At 44.0% G+C, this 23,587-nt stretch overlaps 2 long non-coding RNA genes and 1 pseudogene across 3 annotated transcripts; 1 reads left to right on the top strand and 2 right to left on the bottom strand.

Annotated features, from left to right (window-relative positions):
• Positions 1 to 5,471: 5,471 nt before the first annotated feature.
• LOC105371694 (uncharacterized) lies at positions 5,472 to 13,407 on the bottom strand. 2 transcript variants are annotated; one of them, XR_922458.4, is made up of 3 exons: positions 13,142 to 13,407; positions 6,702 to 6,758; positions 5,472 to 5,559 (listed from the first exon to the last, which is right to left on the bottom strand). It is a non-coding gene; the product is annotated as an uncharacterized LOC105371694 (long non-coding RNA). The 2 variants fall into 2 exon arrangements; XR_001738412.1 differs by lacking the exon at positions 13,142 to 13,407 and adding an exon at positions 7,658 to 7,882.
• Positions 8,342 to 23,070, top strand: LOC105371695 (uncharacterized). Its single transcript, XR_922456.3, has 5 exons — positions 8,342 to 8,894; positions 13,331 to 14,347; positions 18,221 to 18,291; positions 21,886 to 21,973; positions 23,039 to 23,070. It is a non-coding gene; the product is annotated as an uncharacterized LOC105371695 (long non-coding RNA).
• On the bottom strand, positions 11,354 to 11,469 carry LOC124900453 (uncharacterized; annotated as a pseudogene).
• Positions 23,071 to 23,587: the final 517 nt, after the last annotated feature.

Below are 23,587 nucleotides of genomic sequence, written 5' to 3'. Positions count from 1 at the left end.
ATAAAACTATAAATTTTCTAGAAAAAAATAGGAATATATCTTTGTGATCTTTGGTTATGCAATGGCTTCTTAGATATAACATCCAACATGAGCAACAGAAGAAAAATAGAAAAATTGGACTTTATCCAATTTAAAAACTTTTGTGTGTCAAAGGAGACTATCAAGAAAGTGAAAAGACAATTTATAGAATGAGAAAGTATTGTAAATCATATGTATCCAGAATATATAAGGAACTCTTACAATTAAATGATAAAACACAAGTAACTAAATTTAAAGATTGGCAAAAAAGTTGAATGGACATTTCTCCAAAGAGAATATACAAATGGCCAGTAAATACATGAAAAGATGTTCAGCTTCATTAGGCATTAGGAAAATGCAAATCAAAACCATAATGGGATACCACTCTATACTCACTAGGATCACTAAAATAGAACAGATAGAGAATGAAATGTTTTGGTAAAGAGGTAAAGAAATTGGAACCCTCATACATTGCTGGTGGGAATGTAAAATGGTGCAACCACTTTGGAAAATAGTTTGGCAGTTCTTCAAAATGCAAAACATAGAGTTAGAATATAAACTAGCAATTCTACTCCTGGATGTATACCCAAGAGAAGTGAAAATATATGTCTACACAAAAACTTGTACATGAAAGTTCATAGCAGAATTATTCAAAATAGCCAAAAGGTGGAAACAAACAAAATATCCATTAATTAATGACTGGACAAACAAAATGTGGTATGTCCATACACTAGAATATTATGCAGCAATAAAAAAGAATGAATACTGGCACATGCTCCGACTTAGATAAACCTTGAAAAAAATATGCTAACTGAAATAAGTCAATCACAAAAGACCATGTATTGTATGATTCCACTTATGTGAAAAGTTCAGAATCAGCAAACCAACAGAGTCAGAAGGTTGATTAGTGACTACCTGAGGTTGGAGCAGTAGGTTGAGGGAAAATAAGTGAGCAGAAATGGTGGAGGACTGCTAATGTGTACAGAATTTATTTTGGGGATGTCAAAAATGTTCTAAAATTAAATTGTGATGGTTGCATAACTGTGTGAATATACTAAAAACCACTGAATTATACACTTTAAATGGGCGAATTTTATGGTATGCAAAATATATTTCAAAAAAGCTATTAAAATACATAAAAACATTTTCAGATATGCAAGATTTCAAAAAATTAACCTCCCACTTATCTTTTCACAATAAGCTACTTGCAGATGTATTCTGCCAAAAGAAGTGAATAAACCAAGCAGGGGGGGAAACACAGAATCTAGAAAACAGGAGTTTTAACACAGAAAAGAGGCAAAGGGAATTTCCAGATTAATGGTGCAGAAAAGTTCCCAATGATAGTTGTGTAGCAAGCTTAGAGACTTACAAGTAACAGAAGGACAAAATGCACTAGGAGGAAATCCCCGAGTAGAAAAAGAAAAAAGAAACAAACAGACTACCTAATGTTTGCACATATTGCAATGATTTTTATTGTTCTTTCAGAAATTCTGAGAATGAATTCGTGATAGGTACCTGGAAAACTAAGAAACAAACAAACAATGAGGCAACTATTAAATCCAGGTAAAACATAAAGTAGTTTTATTGTATCTTCTAGATCAGCAGTGAATTGCTGTGATAGGTACCTGGAAAACTAAGAAACAAACAAACAATGAGGCAACTATTAAATCCAGGTAAAACATAAAGTAGTTTTATTGTATTCCCTAGATCAGCAGTGAATTGCATTTCCATGATCATAACATCATAAACATCATAAAATCAATGCTCAAAATTAATAAGCATTGATTTTACCCATAAGGTAACAATAGTATATTGAGAGGATGGGGAGGAGGAATAGTGTGAATATATTAGGCGGCCAGAGAGTGGGAAAGGATGGTGTGAGGGAACACAATCCTCATCTTTCATACAGGAGCCAAAAAACTAAACCTAAAAAACAAAACAAAAAAAAGAAATAGTAGCATAATCTGCTGTTTACAAATAAAGAGAGAAAAACAGAAGAAACAGAAAAGAGTTGAAAGCATTTGGTTCTAGAAAGCAGGAATTCAAAAAATTGGGTCAGAGGATTGCAATTTTTAAGTTATGGATGTGGCAATACGATTTAATTTTAAAAACAAAACTAAAAATAATACTCATGCATTAGTTTGATTTTTTTATAAAAAAGAAGAAATAGTTTTTAAAATAATGTAGACAGTGGTACTGCAGCCAGCAGGGCTCCTCAGCTGCAGCACTCCAACCTGTTTTTCTTTTACTTCCGTCTTCATCAGCCTCTCTCCTCAGTAATTGCCTTAGTCCCCTAACCACCTGCTCCTGTCTGCCTCAGTATGGTATGTTTTGGCTTCTGCACCTGGTCCTCTTGCAGTCATCCAGGTCCATTCCCTCTCTCTTGACTCTTCCTTCTGCTTTAGAATCCCAGACATGAGCTTGGGCCAGTTTGACTTGGAATCTGTCAGCCCCAGCCAATTAACCTGCTACAGTCTGGTTCTCTTGGCTGCTCCACTCGCCTTGTACGTACTCTGCATATACATCAGTGGCAGCTGTGAGCCCTGCCTCTTCCTGTGCCTAGAGTAGGCTACACTAAGCATGGCTTCCAGTTGGGTGGGCTGGCAAGATGAGTACAATGTCCTCTCCTGAGATCTGGATGCTGCATCTGTTAATGAAGCGACAGACCACTTATAAGCCACCAGGTCACTTCCTGACTCGTTCTAAATCCACTAAACTCATGGTTCCTTTTCAAGGTATAGAGCCAAGTCTTCCCATTCCTATAGTTACATAACTGATATTTTTAGCACAAATGCAGTATATTTGTCTGTATAACATTTTATCTTTTGGTTTTTTAAAATGTTGTTTATACCAATTTGTAAAGCAGGGGGCAAGGATAAATGCAGACTCAAAGCGTGAGTACTCAGGCACAGGCTGGCAGCATGGATGTGGTCCTTTCAGACCCTTGCCATCCCATGAAGAGGCATGCTTGGGATGAACGTGTCTTAGAGTGCCATGTGTGCGCTGTGTGATCCAGGAGAGGGATCACTGTGCTCCGTTGTCTTGCATATTAGTGATGGATGTGGGAAGGGATAGATCTTTAGCTTTGCAATTGGTTACAACCTTGCCAGCATGAGAAATAGCTTGTCTCCCCAGAAAAATTAAGTGAGGAGTTCGCATATCGGCATTGGCTCCAATCTGAGTTCTTGAAGCCATCCTATAGGGCCAATATATTGCTGGGTTACCTAGGGAGAGTCTCCGGAGTCATCCAGCTGATAATCTGATTTGTCTCTCCTCATCCAGTCTTTAGATATCTGATTTTGTTGATCTTTGTATTATCTTTTCCTCTAAGTTTTGCGTCATTTAGTCTTTATTCAAGCCACTGATTAAATTCTGATGATATTTCAGTATGACAATTACCAATGCTCTTTCTGTCTATTAAACCAATCAGTTCTCCATCTGATATAATATCATCTGCCTTATTCTTCTACTTTGTCCACAACATAGCCATGGGAGCCTTTGTCCAATTCCTGCTAAAATCAAGAAACCTCGTATTCATCAGGTCCTATCTACAAGGCCAGGACATGGTAGGTAGGGGCTGGACTCAGAGGCAGGAAGTGAGGAGAGGGTTCAGAAGCCTCATCAGGCTTGTAGAGATGGAACTTTTAATTGCCCCCAGGAGATGCATCAAGGGAGAGAAGAAAGCAGAGCGGTGAGGAGAGCCCAGATCATTAGCCTATTAGGATAAATGTGTTTACTAATGTGTTTATCAATTCTTCCCTCTAGGATTAGAGAGAAACCTAGACAGCCTTGGCACCTAAAAATAGAGACCACTAAAAGTGGAGAGGGGACAGAGAACTAGGAGATGAGGGAACCCCATTTACTCCTTTCTCTCCATCAACCCCTTTCACATGGCGCCTGGTTTCTTCACATGTAAGAAGGCGATCTCAGAATTGTGTGCTACGTTAGTTACTTTCTTGGGAACACCAATTATTTTCAGCGCCAAAGAAGAGGATGATACCTAATCCATACAATTGAACTTCTCATTCCAGGCTCAACAAGAACAGGGTTTGGGGTACTTCAAACCAGATCACAAGTTGACATATCACTCCACTTTGAGTTCAACTCAAGCATCACTCCTCTGAGACCTTTTCTGCCCCTTCCCCTTGTCACCTGGATACACTGCCATTGTACTTATCACAGTGGATTTGCAGACAGTTGTTTACATGTCTCTCACATCTACTACAGTGACAGCAACTTGATTGAGTGCAGGCACTGTGCTGTTCATCTTTGCATTCCCAAGGCCTGGCATGCACCTGGCATATGCTACTCATGTGCCCAGTGAAGCTTGGGACCTGGGAGGGCCTGGAAAGGGTTAGGGTGGCATCATCCCAACTGTCCCTCCCTCCTCCACCTAACCTAAGTCGGTAAGCTCAGTGCATGGCATATAGTAGGTGCCCAACAAATGTTTGTTGAACAAATAAAAGCAAAACATCTGCCTGCCTGTGAGGAAGGTCCAGGGACAACCCTCACAGAAGACTCTGCCTGTACAGCTCATCCCTGCTCTCAACCAGCCAAGGCCAATGAAAGAGCCCTGTGGCCAACCACTACAGATTTCCCTTCATGATGACAATAATCAGCCTGGGTCAGGAAGGGTTTCCTGCAGTCAAGGAATGAGGAGCTGCAGCTCCTCATCAGCCTCTGGTGTGGAAGGCATCCTGACCTCTTCACCCTCACCAGCCGTTCTGACATTAGATAGAGCAGGTAACAAATGGGTAAAGTCCCTGCCTTCACGAACCTTACATCCTTCCTTAGGGAGGCAGGCAGTGTGAACAGAACAGAATACACCAGATGGTGGTGCGGGTGTAATGAGGAAAACAAAGCGGGTAATGGGATGGAGAGTGCTGGGCCAAGGGGCTGCCTTATCAAGCGTGGTCAAGGAAGACCTCCGGGGAAGTCAGCTTGACCTGCCCACTCACTCCTGCTCCTCTCTGATCCCAGCTCCCTCTCTGTCCCTGCTCCAGTCACACCACTTCCATGCTGTGTCTCCAACCTGCCACACTTCCTCCCGCCTCAGGGTCCTCGCTCCTGTTCTTCACACTCCCTGCAGTGCTTCTTCACCTCTTCAAGGTTTTGCTTAAATGTCACCTCCTCAATGACACCTGCTCTGACCACCCTATTTAAAGTTGCAACACCCTCTTTCCCCCGTCCCCCTTAGTCTGCTGTATTTTTTCCCCAAGCACTTAACACTTCCCAACATAGTATCTAATGCACTGGTTTATCGTGTGCTTGGCTCATTGGCCTTCACCCCTCAGTAGAATGTGGACGTGACTCGTGCAGGAATTCTTATGGCTTTGATTTACTAATACGTTTCAAGTGCAGGATAATGCCTGGCACAGGCTGGGTGCTTAATAAGCACTTCAAACATTCACTCATTCACTTAACACTGAAATGTATGCTCTGTACCAGGCGCTGCACTCTAGCAGCAAGAAGATCCTTCACAATGGTGGGAGAGGAGGAGAAACGCCACCCAGCTTCCTTGTGAGCCATGCTGGCCTAGAGCTGATGGGAAAGAGAGGTGGTGTGGTCAGTTTGGGATTCTCTCTAGGCTGTTTCCCTGTCACCTTGCCCCTCTGCCCTCTTTACTCCAAAAGTTAGGGGGTTCAGGATCTTTCTCATATTAGGAATATGAAATGGGACCCAGACGGAGTGGGCATGACCATGGACCTGGAGCAGAGTCAGAGGAGGGCAGGGAGCCAGGGGCTGGGGGCTGGATAATGGACAGGGCCTTCAGAGTGGGTAGAAATGGAGGTGCAGGGCCTCTTTCAGAGGCTGAGGGAGGGGAAATCCCTGTCCTTATCCTCTTTCTCCGGGATTCTGTAATGAGCCTTGCAACACCCATTTTCAACTCTACAAGGCTCCTAGCACTCTCAGTGGTGTGTCTGGGAGAATTAACTGCCTGAATGCCTAATGACAGACATGAGGAGCAGACAGCGTGTGTATGTGTCGTGTGTGTGTGTGTGTGTGTGTGTGTGTGTGCGTGAGAGAGAGAGAGAGAAGTAGGGAAGAGGCAGTGCCTTTCTCTCTTTGAAATTATTTGTGACTGCATGGCAGATTTCCATTTTCACAGCCTCCATCTTCTTTCTGGGAATCTCCCTGTGCAACCACCACTACCATTCCTAAGTCTCCAGCCAGGAGCCTGACCTCTCAGTTTTCCCAAGCAGGCCTTTTCCAATGCCTTTTCCTCAAGCTTAGCACTAATGCCTGCCATATTCAAGGTGCCCTCACTTGCTGTGACCCACTCCAGGCTGACACAGTGACTTCCTCTATGGGCCCTCCCTGGTCACTCTATTGCCAAAAAGCATTCCCTGGGGCCAGTCAGAGTTAAGTCCAGGGTGGTGCATTTCTTCCTTGCTTCTTCCACTTCTGAGCTATGAAATTATCCATTGAAGCAAATCAATAATTCATCAGATGATCTACATTTAGTCTAAATTAGATCTCATTGCCTCAGGCTAAACTTTGAAGTCCTACTTCACCTGACTCCACCACCCAGCCAGCTCTCCAGCAGAGTCCAACCAGCTCCCTTTCATGCTGGCACCTTCTCTCCACCGCATATTCCCCACACTCTTGCCCCCTGCCCCTACGTCTTAGCCCAAGCCAGTCCCCTGTTCAGAAGCCCATCCTTCCCTCTGTGTTGTAGTCACCTTCCTCTTCAAAGTCCCATTTCAAATCGGGGCTTCACCATGAGCTTCCTTGAGCTTCTGCAACAGACAAAAGTATTTTACAATTAGAAGCACACAGTTTTGCATTTACTTTCACTCCATTTGTTTTGTGATCCAAGAGGCCAAAATATACACCACTGTGTCAGCTAAGACAGACCCTAAGTGTAAGGAAATAAAGTTACCTACAGGTGGAGGGTTCAAGGCCTGGCTGGCATGGCAAATTTCTAAATTCCTACAACTATAAGAAAAACCACACCACTGCTAAATTCCCTAACAACAGGAGCTAGCAGGCTGATTTAAAACCCAGACCACTATAACTCTGGTTGGACAGAAGGCCGGCCTTACAAGCCTTCTTTTCTGATAAGCAGTTACAGACCTTAAGCTGGCTTCAGCAGCTTATAAAGGCTGTGCACAAACTGTCTTTGTGTCCTATAGTTCACCTTTTGATGTAAAGAGCCAAATTTTAATGCTAAAACCCTGCCCCAAAGTGAACACGGGATGTCTGTAACATATCTATTTACCCATTGCGCATGTGTCATCTCCCTTCATGAATATGTATAGCTTCCCCCCCAAACCTGCTGAATATGTATGATACTGGCCCTGTTAGGCATAAAACCCAACTTGTCTTTCTCCTCTTTGAAGAGAGAGCACCTTCAGTCCACATTAGAGACTTTCTCTTTCCGGCTTGCAAACCAATAATGCCAATAAAGCTCTCCCTTCTACATCTAGCCATCCTAGTGGTCTTTGAGACGACAGTTTTCTCTTTGCAAACTGTCTTCCCACAGAATTGTTGAGCAACATAAGGACAGGATACTATAATAGACTCACATCACCTCACAACACCAAGCACAGCACCCCCCATGAATACTTGGTGAATTGGTATAACCTTGTTCCCACCCCTCTTTGCAGCTCTATCCCTTTCTCTTAATCCAAATTACCTTTAACCCTCAGCCCTCAATTCCACTTTTGCCTCCAGTTCTCAGGGATTAGACAACCCAAGGTACGTGATCAGACTTTGTTTTGATTTTAGAAGATCGTGCTGGCTGCAAGCCGACTGAAGAGATTAGAGTGAATACAGGCCAGCCGGCAGGGGGGCCATTGCGCCCGCCCAGGTGAGACAGGGCTGGAGCTGGTGAGAGAGATGGAGAGAGGAGGATGGATTCAAGAGATACTCAGAAGGTAAAAAGATGCTCCATTTGTCTGGCACTATACAGTTTCCAAAGCACTTTTGCATCTATTACCTCCTTTGACTTTCAACTGCCCTTAAGATATACTGAGTAGGTACAATCAAAATCTTGGCTTTAGTGATGATGAAACGAAGCTAGGAAGAGTGGAGGCATTTGCCCAAATTCACACAGCTGGTTAGAGCAGGGTTGGGACTCACATCCACATCCTCCGACATCACATCCAGGGCTCCTTTGCAGTCTCAGGTCACCGGGACTCACTCTGGAGCTGCCAGGGGAGGGCCAGTGTTAAGTTGCAGAATCCTGACTCGGCTACCTGCCTGAGGCTATTTACAAACTTCCAATTGATTTGTTGTAACCTGTAATTATTTTTGCTGAATTTTTTTTCACGCTCCATTTGTCTTTTTACTCTCCAGCAGACAGGCTACAGGAAATAGCAGATTGGGAGAGGAGTGGGAACAGGAGAAGCTGTCTTTGGCTCGGCTGGAAGGTGAAGGGATTCCAGATGCCGGTTCCTGGCTTGCTCCCCGCTCTCCATTTGGCTTCATCCTGGGGCTCTCTTCCTCCCCACAGAGGGGTGGTGGGCACTCTGTGCCACACCTCTCCTCTCTGGGATCTCAGGTCTGTCCCTGAAACCTGCTGGTAGAAGAACCTCTAGAGTCCTTGCCTCCTTCCCACCGTGTGACCATTGCCCATTGGCACATCTGTCAAGACACAGATTTTTGGAAGAAAAAAGAAAGAGTGAATGCTGCAGAGATGGATTGTTAATTTTCCAAATGAGATATGACTCTGAGATCCCACCTACCCAGCTGGTAGGACGTTCCACCATGCTCCCTAAGGTGGTTTGAGTGTTTGGAATGACAAAGACTCTCTCATCACCCTGAAACCTTAGTCCGGCGGCGCCTCTGAGTCTTCTGCTTGACGAGGCCTGACCTTGGGCTTCCCCATGTCCTTTCAGAATCCAGTTTGAGCAAGAATCCTGCTAAGTCAGGTTAGTGAAATTTCCCCACTCTTGTTATCTGACTATCCTCAATATTTTATCACCCCTGCCTGCATTCAGCAATGATCCTGTCAAGTCAGTTTAGCCAGAAACCCCTTACCCTTGATGTTTCTTCCTAGTAATTTTCCATCCTCTGTCCTTAACCCTGACCATTGGTTGATTACAAATCTCCACTTGCCCTTGTTGGAGTTGAAACTGAGCCTGATCTCTCTCCCCCACCATAAGACATCTTTGCAGTGGCCCCTATACCTACTGCCATGGCCTCCCTTGAATAAAGTCTGCCTTGCCATCTTTAACACACGTTTGGATAATTCTTTTCTTTTTTCTTTTTTTTTTTTTAGTTGGAGTCTTGCTCTGTTGCCCAGGCTGGAGTGTGGTGGCTCAATCTCAGTTCACTGTAACCTCCATCTCCCAGGTTCAACCGATTCTCCTGCCTCAGCCTCCTGAGTAGCTGGGAATACAGGCGGGTGCCACCACTCCCGGCTACTTTTTTGTATTTTTAGTAGAGATGGGATTTCACCATCTTAGCCAGGATGGTCTCAATCTCCTGACCTCGTGATCCGCCCACCTCGGCCTTCCAAAGTGCTGGCGTGAGCCACTGCACCCGGCCAATTTTTTTCTTTAACAGGGTGGTCACTCAATTTGCAGAGCTTGGAGAAAGGCTTCTGCTCATTGTCTGAACCTATAGGGTCCCTTCGAGGAGGTCAGGGCTGTTCACAATCTATTCTCCTCCATGCTAACTTGGCCATCATCCCCCAGACCCCAGAAGGGGTTCTGTTGTGTCCTGGGTGGCTGTGTGGGCATGGAGCGCAGGTCTTCACCCCCACACACGCCGCCTCGTCACTCACTCCCCCACATTCTGCCACAGGATTCAACCCACTCCCCAGTTCCAGGTCAGCAGCAGCCTCCCTCCCCTCTCTTGTGGAGCCAAATCCTCCTCAGCATGGTAAGGTGGGCTTTGTTTTGTTTTGTCTTTTTAAATTACAGTGGAAGCATGGAGAAGCTGTTAACTCCACCCGCGTGAGAAGAGCCTAAATCTAGTACGCAGCTAGGACAGTCTTCCCTGAATGGAGTTGGGGTGAAGTTGGAAGTAGCTCTCATTCTTTTGTGACAAATCCATAGTCAGGAAAATGGACACAGTTAATATCTCTTCTCATTATCCTACTGCGCTGCCATTTACAGGTAGCTCTGAATTTGCAGTCCTCACTATTCCTATCACAAGACAGTTATTATTAGCCACACTTTACATGTGAAGAGGCTTGGAGAAATTAAAAAAAAAAAAAACTTGCCTAAGGGCACACAAGTATGAGTGACAGAGTGGAGAGGGATTCAAACCCAGGCCTGACTGAAGGCTGTTGCCACTATTCCAGCCACCACTGAGTGGACTTAATGAGTGATCTCTACCAAAGGTATTTGCATGGATTGTCAAAGCTTTGGAAAGGCTATAAGGAAAGAAATGCCCAAGTAAATTCTTCAGGGGTCAGTGGAGTGGGTGGGGATCTATATTCTGGAGGCAGCCTCCAGAGTCTTTCACATTTCCACCAGGTCAAAAAATAAATAAGAAGCAGCATAAACAAATATTGAACTCTAATTAACAATATGATATTGAAGTATTTAGAGGTTAAAGTGTACCAAAGTCTGTAACTTTGAAATGTGTCCACAATATAAGAAAAGACTGGTGGATGGATAGATGAACAGATTTGGGGTAAAGCAAATATAGCAAAATGTTAGTTATAGAATCTAGATTGTGGGCATATGGTTGTTCACTGTGCAATTCTTTAAACTCTTCTGAATTTTTACATTTTTCGTAATAACATATTGAGGGGAAATAAATCACACAGGTGGGTCACACCCATCTCTTGTTATACAATGCCAGGCTGGAGGGGAGCTTAATCATTAGTCACCGAGTTCTTTCCCAAGTGTCCTGCAGGAAGAGTGCTGGACTAGACATTTGAAGACACAGAATAACAAACAGGTAGTCCCTGCTTGGTGGAAATTTAGGATACCTGTGACAAAATAGGACGGAATCATAAAATCAACAGTCATAAAGACAGTGAGCTCTTTATTTTCTGCTTTAATGGAGGGGGAGCAAATTGCCTGACTATACATGTCCAAACGCCTTTTCTTTTTTACTTTGATGCATGGGAAGGCTCACCACACTTAAAGAGACAGAAACGGGCAGTAAGAGAAAGTGGCCCAAAAGCACTTAGTGGGTTACAGAAGGTCCCCAGTGGAGAATCCACCTGCAGGTCCCAGAAGGTGTGTTGAGGAGCAGGAGGGGCACCTTTTGTGGCAGGTGGGTTTAGTGGAAAGTTCAGGGGATTTGGAACCATGCCAGGACCAACTCTGCCGATCTAGATGAACTTGAACAAGTCACTGTTCTCTTTGAAGCTTAATTTCCTCTTTTGTTGCCTATAGGCCAAATTCTGCCTAGGGCTTGTTTTTATTTTTCACATCTGAGGCAGGAAAGCAAGGCAATTCTGATGACAGTCCTCAAAGGCTGATCTTGGCCTCCAGCCTTAGCTGCGAAGAACAGGGACCCCACACAGCCCATGGGAGAAAGGCGCCTAGGGCTTGTTTTTATATGGCCTGTGAGTTAATGGGTTTTTTAAAAATATTTTTCAATGGTTGGAAAAAATCAAGAGAAGAATAACATTTTGTGAGATGTAAAATTATATATAATTCAAATTTCAGAGCCCATAAATAAAGTTTATTGGAAAATGGCCAAACTCATTTGTTTACGTATTGTCTGTGGCAGCTCTCAATCAATAATAACCAGGTAGTTGCAACAGAGACCTTATGGCCTGCAAAGCCTCAAATATTTAGTCTCTATGCCTTTATTTGTTTATTTATTTTATTTTAACTGTTTTTTGAGACAAGATCTCACTCTGTCGCCCAGGCTGAAGTGCAGTGATGCAATCTTGGCTCACTGCAGCCTCGAACTCCTGGGCTCAAGCCATCCTCCCACCTCAGCCTCCCAAGTAGCTAGGACTACAGGAGTGCACCACCATGCCTGGCTAATTTTTGTATTTTTTGTAGCGTTGGGGTTTCGCCACATTGTCCAGGCTGGTCTCGAACTCCTGGGCTCAAGTGATCCTCCTGCTTCAGCCTCCCAAAGTGCTGGGATTACAGGTGTGAGCCACTGCACCCAGCCTCTACCCCTTTACAGAAACAGTTTGCCAACCTGGTGTGAAATAGTTCATCTGCAATTTAACTGCTCCACATACCTCACGTCACAGAATTGCTGTGAGAAGTAATGAGATTTGGGTTTAGTAAACTGGAAGATTCCATAAGATGCAAGGTGTTACTACTGCCCTGATTTCATTTCTCTCAATACCATCCTTACAAAGGCAGGAGAATCTACAAGGAATGTCTTATATAACAGGAAGAGAAACTAAAGTTAATAAAGGGAGACAAATGGCATGCAGAAATAAATGCTCCTATTTTCCCTGAGAGGCTTCCCACAGCAAGGGCCTCAACTATGTACTCCCGCAAATTTGGGGATGTACAGTCTCATCTGGAAAGATCCAAAGGGGAGGACCAGGCATTTTTCAGGAATTTAATGAGCCAGTTGTTAAACACACCATTATTGAAAAGTAAATTACATAAACTTATAATTTAATAAGTGATATTAAAAGCAAAGGCAATAAATACTCTAATGTTATCAATTCTTAATTCTTTGACTATATTATCTGTGTTCTTGAGGTCATTTACTCCTGTTCTATGTGTATGGTGAAAATACTATACATCAGTGTGCTACTGTGACTCTTTTCCTGGCTCTGCATTCAATGATGTCATATTTGGTATCTTGAAATTAGTCATGGCAGGAGTATTTACAATTGGCAGTTGGCAAGCCCTACAAATCAGGCATTCCCCCCAGTCTCAAAGCTGTTTGTTAAACATTTACCAGCACGCTGCTGGGACCAGGACTTCCATTTACAAGAGATTCACAAGGGAGAGAGAAGGCAAGTAGAGTAGAGAGTGAAGAATGACAGAGGGCAGGGGGTGGACATCATGGGGTGCAGAAGAGGAGGAGGGTCAGGTCTGCTTGTGTTCCAAGAAGCTTTTGAACCAGAAGAGATGTATTTGGGGATGAAGTCTTTGATGTAGCCATTTCTATGGTGTGCATTCTTTGGTTCCACCTTCAGATTAATGAGGTGTCAAAGAACCTAGGTCCATAAAGATGAGAACACCAAGATTTGGGAGGGTTGGAGTCGGGGGGAAGGTGAATGACTCACCTGGAGTCATCCAGTGCCTCACAGACAGGTCTAGTATCCTGACTCCTTCTCCCAGACTAGCTCTTCCCAGAACGGTGACACTGTCTCACCAAGCACCTGCAGATGACAGGAAATGGACACATGAGTCGTACCTGCATTGCTGCTGTCTTCCTATCAGTGAGAACCTGTCTCCTTCCCTTCTGTCAACAGGCATCTGTAGGCTTTGTTAATCTAGGAGTCTGACCACCCACGTCCTCAGCTGGTCCTGTCCCTCCACAGCCCTCTTCTCCCAGCCCTTCAATCATCTCTCCGGACTATAAGCTTATTAAGAGCACGGGAGTAGTCAGCACATCAAGTGTTTGGCACCGGGGTGAGGTGACTGACTACAGCTCTGGGAAGCTCCGCAGAACAAACACCAGAATGAACGGTGTCTTCATTCTCCAGTGAGAGGACTTTGCATCCTGACTTTGTGTACTCTTTCAGGAGCAGACCACCAGAGACAGTCACACAAGGGGAGGGGAGATGGCATTGTGGGAGTGGCCCACTCCGTGAGCACATGAAATTTTAGATCTCCACTTCCGTTTGGTAGCATGTAAAACAGCAGACTCTTGGAAAGTCATCTTTGGAGGGAACCCAAGAGGTCATCATATCCAGAACTTCATTTTACAAACATGTAAACTGAGGCCAGAAAGAGAAAATGACAGGAGCAAATAGGTGATGCTAATAGGTGATGGTGTTGGATTCAAACCCAGGTGTTTTATCCTGATGCAATAAGAAATACGGATTTGGTCTCTGTCCCTGGTTCCTGGCATACAGCTCCTAAAACCCTTGTAATCTCTGACAAAAGAATGTCTTTTGGATGCTAAGAGGAAACTGGTGGCTGGGAGCCCCTAGATGGCTTCAGAATGGGGGCTGGTCACCAGAAAGACCATGGTATGATTAGAACCTCTTGAGAGGAGAGAGGGGCTGAAGGTTGCGTTGATACCTTATGGCCGATGATGTAATCAATCAGGCCTATGTCATAAAGCTTCCATAAAAACCAAAGAAAACTTGGTTCAGGAGGCTCCAGACAGCTGAACCTGTGGAGGCGCCTGGAGGGTGGATCTTCCGGAAAGCACATGGCAGCTCCGCGCCCCTTCCCACATGACTTGCCCTGTGCATCTCTTCCATCTGGCTGCTCATCTGTATCCTTTATCATATCCTTTAAAAGAAACCGGTAAATGTAAAGTAAGTGTTCTGTGAGCTGCTCTAGCAAATTAATTGAAACCAAGGAGGGGGTCTTGGGAACCCCAACTTATAGTTGGTTGGTCAAAAGCACAGGTCACAACCTTAGTCGTGTGATTGGCACCTGAACTGGGGGCAATCTTGTGGGACTGAGCCATCAGCTGTGGGATCTGACTCTCACTGCAAGTAGATGGTGCCAGAATGGAACTGAATTATAGGACACCCAGTTGGTGTCTGCTGGAGAATTTCTTGGTGTGTAGGGAAAAGCCCCCATGCATCTGGTCACAGAAGTATGCTATAGTGAAAGACAGTTTGTTTTCCCTTCAGACTGCATCTCTTTATAGTTTGTTCTTTGCTAAGAAGAGCTAGAATTTAGTCTCTTAGCTTCAGACACAATGTGAAATTCATGGAACCATTACTTAAACAAAAAGTAACCTCTATGTATATATGTGTATATGTGTGTGTGTGTGTGTGTGTGTATGTGTATACATATATATATATTTTCCCAGAAATATGCTGAACACTATGGAAGTATGCTGAACACTATGAAATGAATTCAATAAACATAGTTCCTGCTATTTATAGCCTGGCTTACAGTTTAAAATTGAGATGGACATAGACGGAAAAGGGGGTTTAGGCTTAAACAATAGAAATATGGATAGAATTTGCATTCTATGGCTGATGATGATAAATGTAAGGTTGGTGAAGTGAGGATGACATGAGTTTGAGAAGCAAAGACCTGAGTTCAAATCCTGTCTCTGCTGTCTATTAGCTGTGTGACTTTGGGCAAGCTGCTCAGCCCCTTAAAACCTCAAATTTCCAGACTATGAAATACAGACAGTAATATTTATTTAACAAGGATGTTGAGAGGATAGAACAAGATATTTGTAAAGTGCTTAGTCTAGTACCTGGAGCAGAATAGGTGCTCGATAATGGTAACTAGTATCATTATCTCAGTGACAGCTAGTTCAAGGCGCTAGGAGTAGGTAGGGACAGAAACGTGTGAAGTGGGGAAGGAAATGATTTACCTACCTGGTGTTGATCACAATAATAGCAAAAATTCCTCATAAGGTATTTGCATTGCTCCTTATGATTTATAGATAGTCCTGAGAGACAAAGCAGAATTAGTCCTATTTCATAGGCTAACATACACTTGTATTTATTCAGTGAAGTTTTACTGTTCCAGACTTGTTCTAGATATGAGGCTACAGAAATGCACAAGCGAAGGCTAATGGAAAATTCAATGGCCCAGACTCTGATGGTGGATTTTCTAAGCTAGTATCTCTTTCAAGCCTCACTCATTCTGTTTGGCAAAGGCCTTGAAACACCCAAATGACCAGAATTTTGAGGAGAAGAAAGGCAGGGAGGAAAAGAGGTTGCCATGTGCTGACTCATCCATGGCCCTCTAGAGCACTAATGAGGGGTGGGGGGCGCCTACAGAGGCCTCTTTCCTTGATGGTGCCTCCAGAGTTGGCGTGCACCCATTCTGGGCTCTTGGAGGCTTATGCCCACAGGACAATTGCTTCTGGGCTGCTGCGCTGGGCTCTGTGCCAGGCAGACTGGCATTCAATTCAGTCGAAGCCAGAGTGCAAAAAACTAAAGACAGGACAGGTGTTGCATGTCAATGACAGGAAGAAGGTGGAAAACACTCTCTGCTCTGCTAGTCTGTGCAGACACTGGCTTGGCCTGTTGCAAGTGTGCCAGAGAGGCATACGTAGGTGTGACACACAGGATGGGCAGGCATCTGAATGACCACAACTGGTCACACGTGGTGAAAATAGAAGAGGCATGTATGTTTGGGCAAATGTTGACTGCAGAGTGTGTATATGTGAACATGTTTGTGGCTTGGGTGTTTGAGTGCATGCTGTGCATTGTGAGAATGGTGGGTGGGTGTGAATGTGTGTGTGAGCGGTGTATATCCAAGATGTAAATAGAAAGCAAAGAGGCTGATGTCATAAGCCACAGACAAAAACTCTGTAGCGAAATGCCTTCAGCATGGACCTGTGTGTGTTGCCTGTATGTGTAACTGGCACACGTCTGGTCTAGTGTTCTGTGTATTTAAAATTACCTATGAGGACCAGGCTCAGTGGCTCATGCCCATAATCCCAGCACTTTGGGAGGCCAAGATGGGAGGATCACTTGAGGCCAAGAGTTCGGGTCCACCATGGACAACATAGCAAGACCCTGTCTCTAAATAAATTTTTAAAAATTAGCTGTGTGGTGGCATATGCCTATAGCCCCAGCTACTTGGGAGGCTGAGGTGGGAGGATTGCTTGAGCCCAAGGTTTGAGACTGCAGTGAGCCATGATCAAGCCACTGCACTCCAGCCTGAGTGAAAGAGTGAGACCTTGTCTCAAAACAAAAAAAAAAAAAAAGTATGAGTAGAAGCATTAGTGTTGTGTGTATTTGTACATGAGCTTGTATATATAAGTGTTGGGTGTTGCTACGGTCTGAATGTTGGTTTCCCTCCAAAATTCATATTGGAACCTACCACCCAATGTCATGTATTAAGGGGTGGGGCCTTTGGGGAAGTAATTAAGTCATGAGGGCTGTGCCCTCCTGAATGAGATTGATGCCCTTATAAAAGGGATTGAAAGGAGCAACCTTGCGCCTTCCAACACGTGAGCAAGAAGCTGTCATCTTGGAAGCAGAGAGCGGGTCCTCACGTGATATCAAACCTGCCTGTGCTTTTGTCTTGGACTTTCCAGTCTCTGGAACCATAAGAAAAACATTTCTGTTGTTTATAAATTGCCCAGTCTAAGGTATTTTTGTTATAGCAGCCTGAACACACTAAGATAAGTATGTTACATGTTTATCTACGTAAATCTGTGTGTGTTTCTGGCCAAGGCTGGGAAACAAGATATAGTGTGGGACAATGATCAATTCCAGCTTTCTTATAGGCCTAGGATTCTCTCTCCCTATACATTGGATACAGTTCATCCATCCTGAGTAAAATCCTAAAGGTTTAGATAAATCAAATAAGGCTTTGACCCCTGACACCATCCACTTGCAACTTAAACCCAAGCCACCCAGAAACACCTCCCCTGCTAGGCCCCACCACCGGAAGGAGCCTCTAACACAAAGGCTGACAATACAAAAGATGTCTGTCTTAGCCTCCCCTCATGCTGTCCCTCAAAGAAAAGGGACTGCAGTTGAAACTGAACCATTCATGCTGGCTCTGTTCTGCAGAGCTGTGACACAGACGTCCCGATTTCCCACCTAGAGCCTAGAGGGGCCAGTTGGAAAGCCCGGATAATTTCCTCACTACCTTGTCATCTCCTGAAAGCTGCTTACTCTAGCAGGCCCCCTCTGTTCTGAGGCTGACATTCCTTCTTTGCTCATTTCTCTCTGCTTGTGTCTAATGAGGTGCAGGAGGCTGCTGAAACTGACAATAGAATTACCCTGGACTCTAGATTCTGTCAATCTCCATTAGGAGCCCAGGGAGAGAACAGTCAAAGCACCGGGACACCTTGGTGCTGTTATTGTAATGGGGTTCACTGCGAGAGCAAACAAAACAACATCCCCCCGAGATGCTCACCCTGGGCTGATGAGTCACTCTGGCTTCCAGTCCAGGCTGCAGCATCTACCTCACCCCACCACTCCAAGGAGCCAGAGCCCCGGGAAGTCACACACCTCACTGCTGCAGGTACGGGGACATCAGGGAGGCTCATTCTTCCCGTGAAGATCTGCCTAAGTTTGGCTCAACAACCCTCTCTTCATTTAATGACTTGTGAGCAGTCCAAAGCCTCCCCTCGATTTCTGTAATGTCCTAGGTGACTTAGGTCCTCTTGACCACCTCTCATTTCGAGCAGCTGCTGAATTATTTGGTACATGGACCATCTCTCTGATCCCCTCACCTTCCATATGCTTTTTTAGGTTTCTACCATTTCAATTCTTTGTGGAACTCAATCTGTTTTCTTAACTGATGCAAAAAAGACCACTTAAAGGTAAGTCTTTTCAACAATGGTGCTGGAATAATTGGACAAATATAGGCAAAAAAATGACTCTCAATCTAAGCCTCTCAAAGTTATTATAAAATTAATTCAAAATTAATTTTAAATGCATTAGTTTATACAGGTGTGGTGGCTCACACCTGTAATCCCAGCACTTTGAGAGGCCGAGGTGGGCAGATCATTTGAGTCCAGGAGTTTGAGACTAGCCTGGTCAATATGGCAAAACCCCATCTTTACTAAAAATACAAGAAAACTAGCCGGGGGGTGGTGGTGTGCACCTGTAATTCCAGCTACTCGGGAGGCTGAGGCAGGAGAATCGTTTGAACCCAGGAGGCGGAGGTTCCAGTGAGCTGAGATCACACCACTGCACTCCAGCCTGTGCAACAGGGTGAGACTCTGTCTATAAATAAATAAATAAATAAATAAATAAATAAATAAATAAATGCATCAGTTTACATACAGATCATATGTAAAATGTAAAACTAAAAAACTTCTAGAAGAAAGCATAAGAGAAAATCTTTGAGACCTTGGTTAGTCGAGTTTTTAGATAAAATACCAAAATCATGATTCATAAAAGAAAAAAAAGATAGATATTATCAAAATTTAAAATTTGTTCTGCAAATGACACTGTTAAGAGAATAAAAAATAATATGCCACAGATGGGGAGAAAATATTTACAAATCACATCTTTTATCCAGAATATCTAAAGAAACCTCAGCCAGGTGTGGTGGCTCACACCTGTAATCCCAGCACTTTGGGAGGCTGAGGGAGGAGAATCCCTTGGCTCTAGGAGTTCAAGACCAGCCTGGGCAACATAGTGAGACACCCCCCATCTCTACAAAAATAAAAATAAAAATTAGCCAGACATGGTGGCACACACCTGTAGCTTCGGCTACTTGGGAGGCTAAGGTGGAAGGATCCCTTGCACCCAAGAATTCAAGGCTGCAACGAGACATGATCACCAATGCATTCCAGCCTAGGCAACAGAGTGAGACTCTTTCTGAAGAAAGAAAGAGAGAAAGAGGGAGAGAGGAAGGAAGGAAAGAAGGAAGGAAGGAAGGAAAGAAGGAAGGAAGGAATCCTCAGAACAATAAGAAAACAGGCTGGGCGCAGTGGCTCACGCCTGTAATCTCAGTACTTTGGGAGGCCAAGGTGGGTGGATCACGGGGTCAAGAGTTTGAGACCAACCTGAACAAAATAGTGAAACCCCGTCTCTACTAAAAATACAAAAATTAGCTGGGCGTAGTGGTGCATGCCTGTAATCCCAGCTGCTTGGGAGGCTGGGGCAGGACAATCATTTGAACCCTGGAGGCAGAGGTTGCAGTGAGCCAAGATCACACCACTGCATTCCAGCCTGGGCGACAGGCCAAGGCTCTGTCTCAAAAAAAAAGGCAAGAAAACAAACACCACTAGAAAAAAAATGGACAAAAGATTAGAATAAGCACCTCTCCAAAGAGATATAGGAATGAAAAATAAGCATGTGGAAATGTGTTTAACATCATAGTCATTAGAGAAATGTTAAATTAAAACTACATTGAGATACCACTACAAACCTATTAGAATAGCAAATAAATAAAAACAGCTGACAATACCAAGTGTTGGTGAGGTTGTGGAGCAACTGGAATTCTCATTATTACTGGTGGGAATGAAATGGTACAGCCCCTTTGGAAAACAAATTGGCAATTTCTTATAAACACCTACCATATGACTACAATCCCACCTCAAGAAAAAGGGAAACTCATGTTCACATAAAACCCACTACATAAATGTGTATAGCAGCTTTACTCATAATTACCCAAAACTGGTATAATCCAAATATTCTTCAACTGGCAAATAGATAAACAAACTGTGGTGCGTCCAACAGTGCTAGAGTGGAATACTACTCAGCCATAAAAACGAACAACTACTGCTTGACACAACAACATACAGGAATCTTAAATGCGTTTTCCTAAGTGACAGAAGTCAGGCCCAAAAGGTTGAATATTGCATGATTTCTTCTATATGACATTCTGGAAAAGGCATAACTATAGGGACAAAAAATAGATCAGTGGTTGCCAGGGGTTAGTGGTGGGGAGAGAAGCTGACTATAAAGAGTCAGGACAAGGGAATTTTTTAAGTAATTGAATTGTTCTCTATCATGATTGTGGTAGTAAATTCATAACTATGCTTCTCAAGACCTATTGTACCACATACCATAAAAAGTGAATTTTACTGTCTGGAAATGTTTAAAAATTGACCCGAATATTGGGGGAACCCAAAATGGAATACAAACTAAGAAATAAAACTGTAATACAAATAAACCATATAGTTAATATTGAAAGAGATGGAAAAGAAAATAACTAACAGAAGTAACTTTGGAAAACAGTTTCGAGTGTATGCTATAAGACTAAAGATAAGAACTGTATTGAATGTGGCTTTTGTTACACAACAAAAACAAAAAGAACTATACACAAGTACTGTACTGTAGTAAGTAAATTTGCTCCTCACAGAGGTATGGGTTAGCAGTTCTGAAACTACTTTATGTGTGTGCATACTGGGATTGAAAAAACAAGCTAATACAGTCAATTCTCACACACTGCAGTGGCTACATTCTATAAATCACTGTAAAGACTGAATTAGCAAATACTGAAGCATTATTCCAAGGGGAAATATAGAGTTAGGGTCCTGTGAGCCTCTGGTCATACCACTTTCATCAATCAATCAATACATTGCCTTGTTTTGTGTGTGTTTCTGTTTAAAGATACTTTATTCACTATATATTTTTCATTCATTAACATCGAACTCATGGCCAACCAAACGTGCTTTAACTCATGCCTGAATGAAGCTTATCTAACACAGGTATTTTCTTTGTGAGGCTCATAACAGCCTTTTTATGCTCAGGAACATTAGACAGCACTTCAGCACGACGCTTGGGGGCCATTTTAAACAGCAAAATCACCAATAAAAAGCATAAAAATGGGAAAAACGTGACACTAAATAGACTGTGAAAAGGACACTTGTTTAGAATGTGAGAGCTGGAGCAAGAAGGCAGAATGGAGCCTGGTTTTGACCTCAGCTAAGAACAAGCACAGCGGGCTAAAGTTTTTGAAGCTCTGGGCATGTCAACGAATGACTGGCAAAAGACCACAAGTACTGGTTTTGGAGTTATAAATTACAGGTAGTAGGAGAATTTGCAAATACAGAATCCGTGAATAGCAAGGATCAACTTTATGTGGTAGACAACGAGAGCCAGATGAGGGGAATGAGACAGGAACTCAACCGTCTCTCAAGGCCAGTCACAATTGCTGAATGCACCGACTTTCTGGAGTTAAAACTCATTGCATGCAAGCAAGCTGGAAGGTCCCTCAGACACCTAGCGTTCACCACTCCTTTTACAAAGACCACTGAGGCCTAGGGAGGGATACGTGACTTGCCCAGGTCACACATGAAATAGGCCTCTGTCTTCCTTTCCTGTAGTGGCCCTGGGGTGCCTTGGTTCACCTCTTAAGGATCTGAGGTCCTGAAGGCTGGGAATTTTGTAGGGAGGAGTTAACATATTTGAAACCCAGGCCTCAGTTTACCCAAATGAGTCTCTCTCCTATACCACAGATCTGCCTGAAAGAACTTCTAGATAGCGAGTGGAGTGCCAAGGCTCGGTCTTAGACCACCTCTGTTTCTACCAGTACTCACTCCCTAGGTAATCTTATCCATTCTCATTACTTTAAGTACCATCTTTTGTTTGTTTGTTTGTTTGTTTTTTGAGACAGAGTTTTGCTCCTGTTGCCCAGGCTGGAGTGCAGTGGCGCGATCTTGGCTCACTGCAACCTCCACCTTCTGGTTTCAAGACATTCTCCTGCCTCAGCCTCCCGACTTTAAGTACCATCTGTATGCAAATTTACATCTCCAGCCCAGACATCTTCTTCTGGGTCCCAGACTCCAATTTCCAACTGCCTTCTTGGCATTGCCATGTGGATACCCAATAGGCACCTCAAACCTAACATCTCCAAAGCAGAACTTTGATACCCTCCCTCAACCTGCTGCTCCCATCCCCATTCTTTCCCATCTTAGTAAATGGCAGCTGGAATTGCTAAGGCTAAACCTGGAGCATCATTCTTGAATCCTTTCTTTCTCTCATATCATACATACAATTCAGCAGCCAATCCTGTTGGCTTGGAGGACTTCTTACCACCTTCATTGCTACCACCTAGGCCCTCTGACTACTATGTTTGCAAATCTCCTGAACTTTGTTCCCTGTTTCCAGGTTTGCCCCACACAGTCTGCCAAATAGCAATTAGAATTGTCCTTGTAAAATGTCAGGTCATATCACTCCTCTGTTCAAAACCCTCCAATGACCTCAGAGCAAAATCCAAGGACCACAGATGACTCCCAAGGCCCTCATGAGCTCTGATCTCTCCTCCCACCCTAACCTGATTCACCTCACTCCAGCCATAAAACTCTTGGCTGTTCCTGAACACCTGGGCAGTTTCAGCTGGGCCTGTGCTCTTGGGGACCCACTGTCTGGGAAGCTCTTTTACCAGAGAGCAGGTCTGTGGCTCTTCAACACTTCCCCATGGTCCCAGACAAGCAGGAGGACATCTGGGTTAGAAACCTTAACTTGCCAGGTGGAGTCAGGCCTAGACCTCCAGCCTTACATTTTACTGAGATCTGCTCTAATGTCCCTTTATCAGAGAGCCCTGCTAAACTGCACCATCCCCATCACTTGGTATCTCCTTCATCCTGGTTTCTGTCTTTTTTTTTTCAGATGGAGTCTCGCTCTGTCGCCCAGGCTGGAGTGCAGTGGTGCGATCTCGGCTCACTACAAGCTCCGCCTCCTGGGTTCCCACTATTCTCCTGCCTCAGCCTCCCAAGTAGCTGGGACTACAGGTGTCTGCCACCACGCCCAGCTAATTTTTTGTATTTTTAGTAGAGATGGGGTTTCACCGTGTCAGCCAGGATGGTCTCGGTCTCCTGACCTTGTGATCCGCCTGCCTCGGCCTCCCAAAGTGCTGGGATTACGGGCATGAGCCACAGCGCTCAGCCCTAATTTTTGTATTTTTAGTAGAAAAGGGGTTTCACTATGTTGGCCATGCTGGTCTTGAATTCCTGAACTCAGGTGATCCGCCCACCTTGACCTCCCAAAATGCTGGGATTACAGGCATGAGCCACCGCACCTGGTTTCTTAACATTCTTTGCCACCTCCTCTGCTATATCTATTTACTTTGTATCCACCAGATCGAAAGCTCAGGTCTAATTCCCTGTACCTAGAATATTGCCTGTAGTGTAGTAGGCACTTAAGGTTTTGTTGAGTGAG

The sequence above is a fragment of the Homo sapiens genome, chromosome 1, assembly GCF_000001405.40.
Source record: "Homo sapiens chromosome 1, GRCh38.p14 Primary Assembly".
Taxonomy (NCBI): Eukaryota; Metazoa; Chordata; class Mammalia; order Primates; family Hominidae; genus Homo; species Homo sapiens.
The sequence above is the reverse complement of the archived record's forward strand: the minus strand, read 5'-3'. Positions and strand labels throughout refer to the sequence as shown.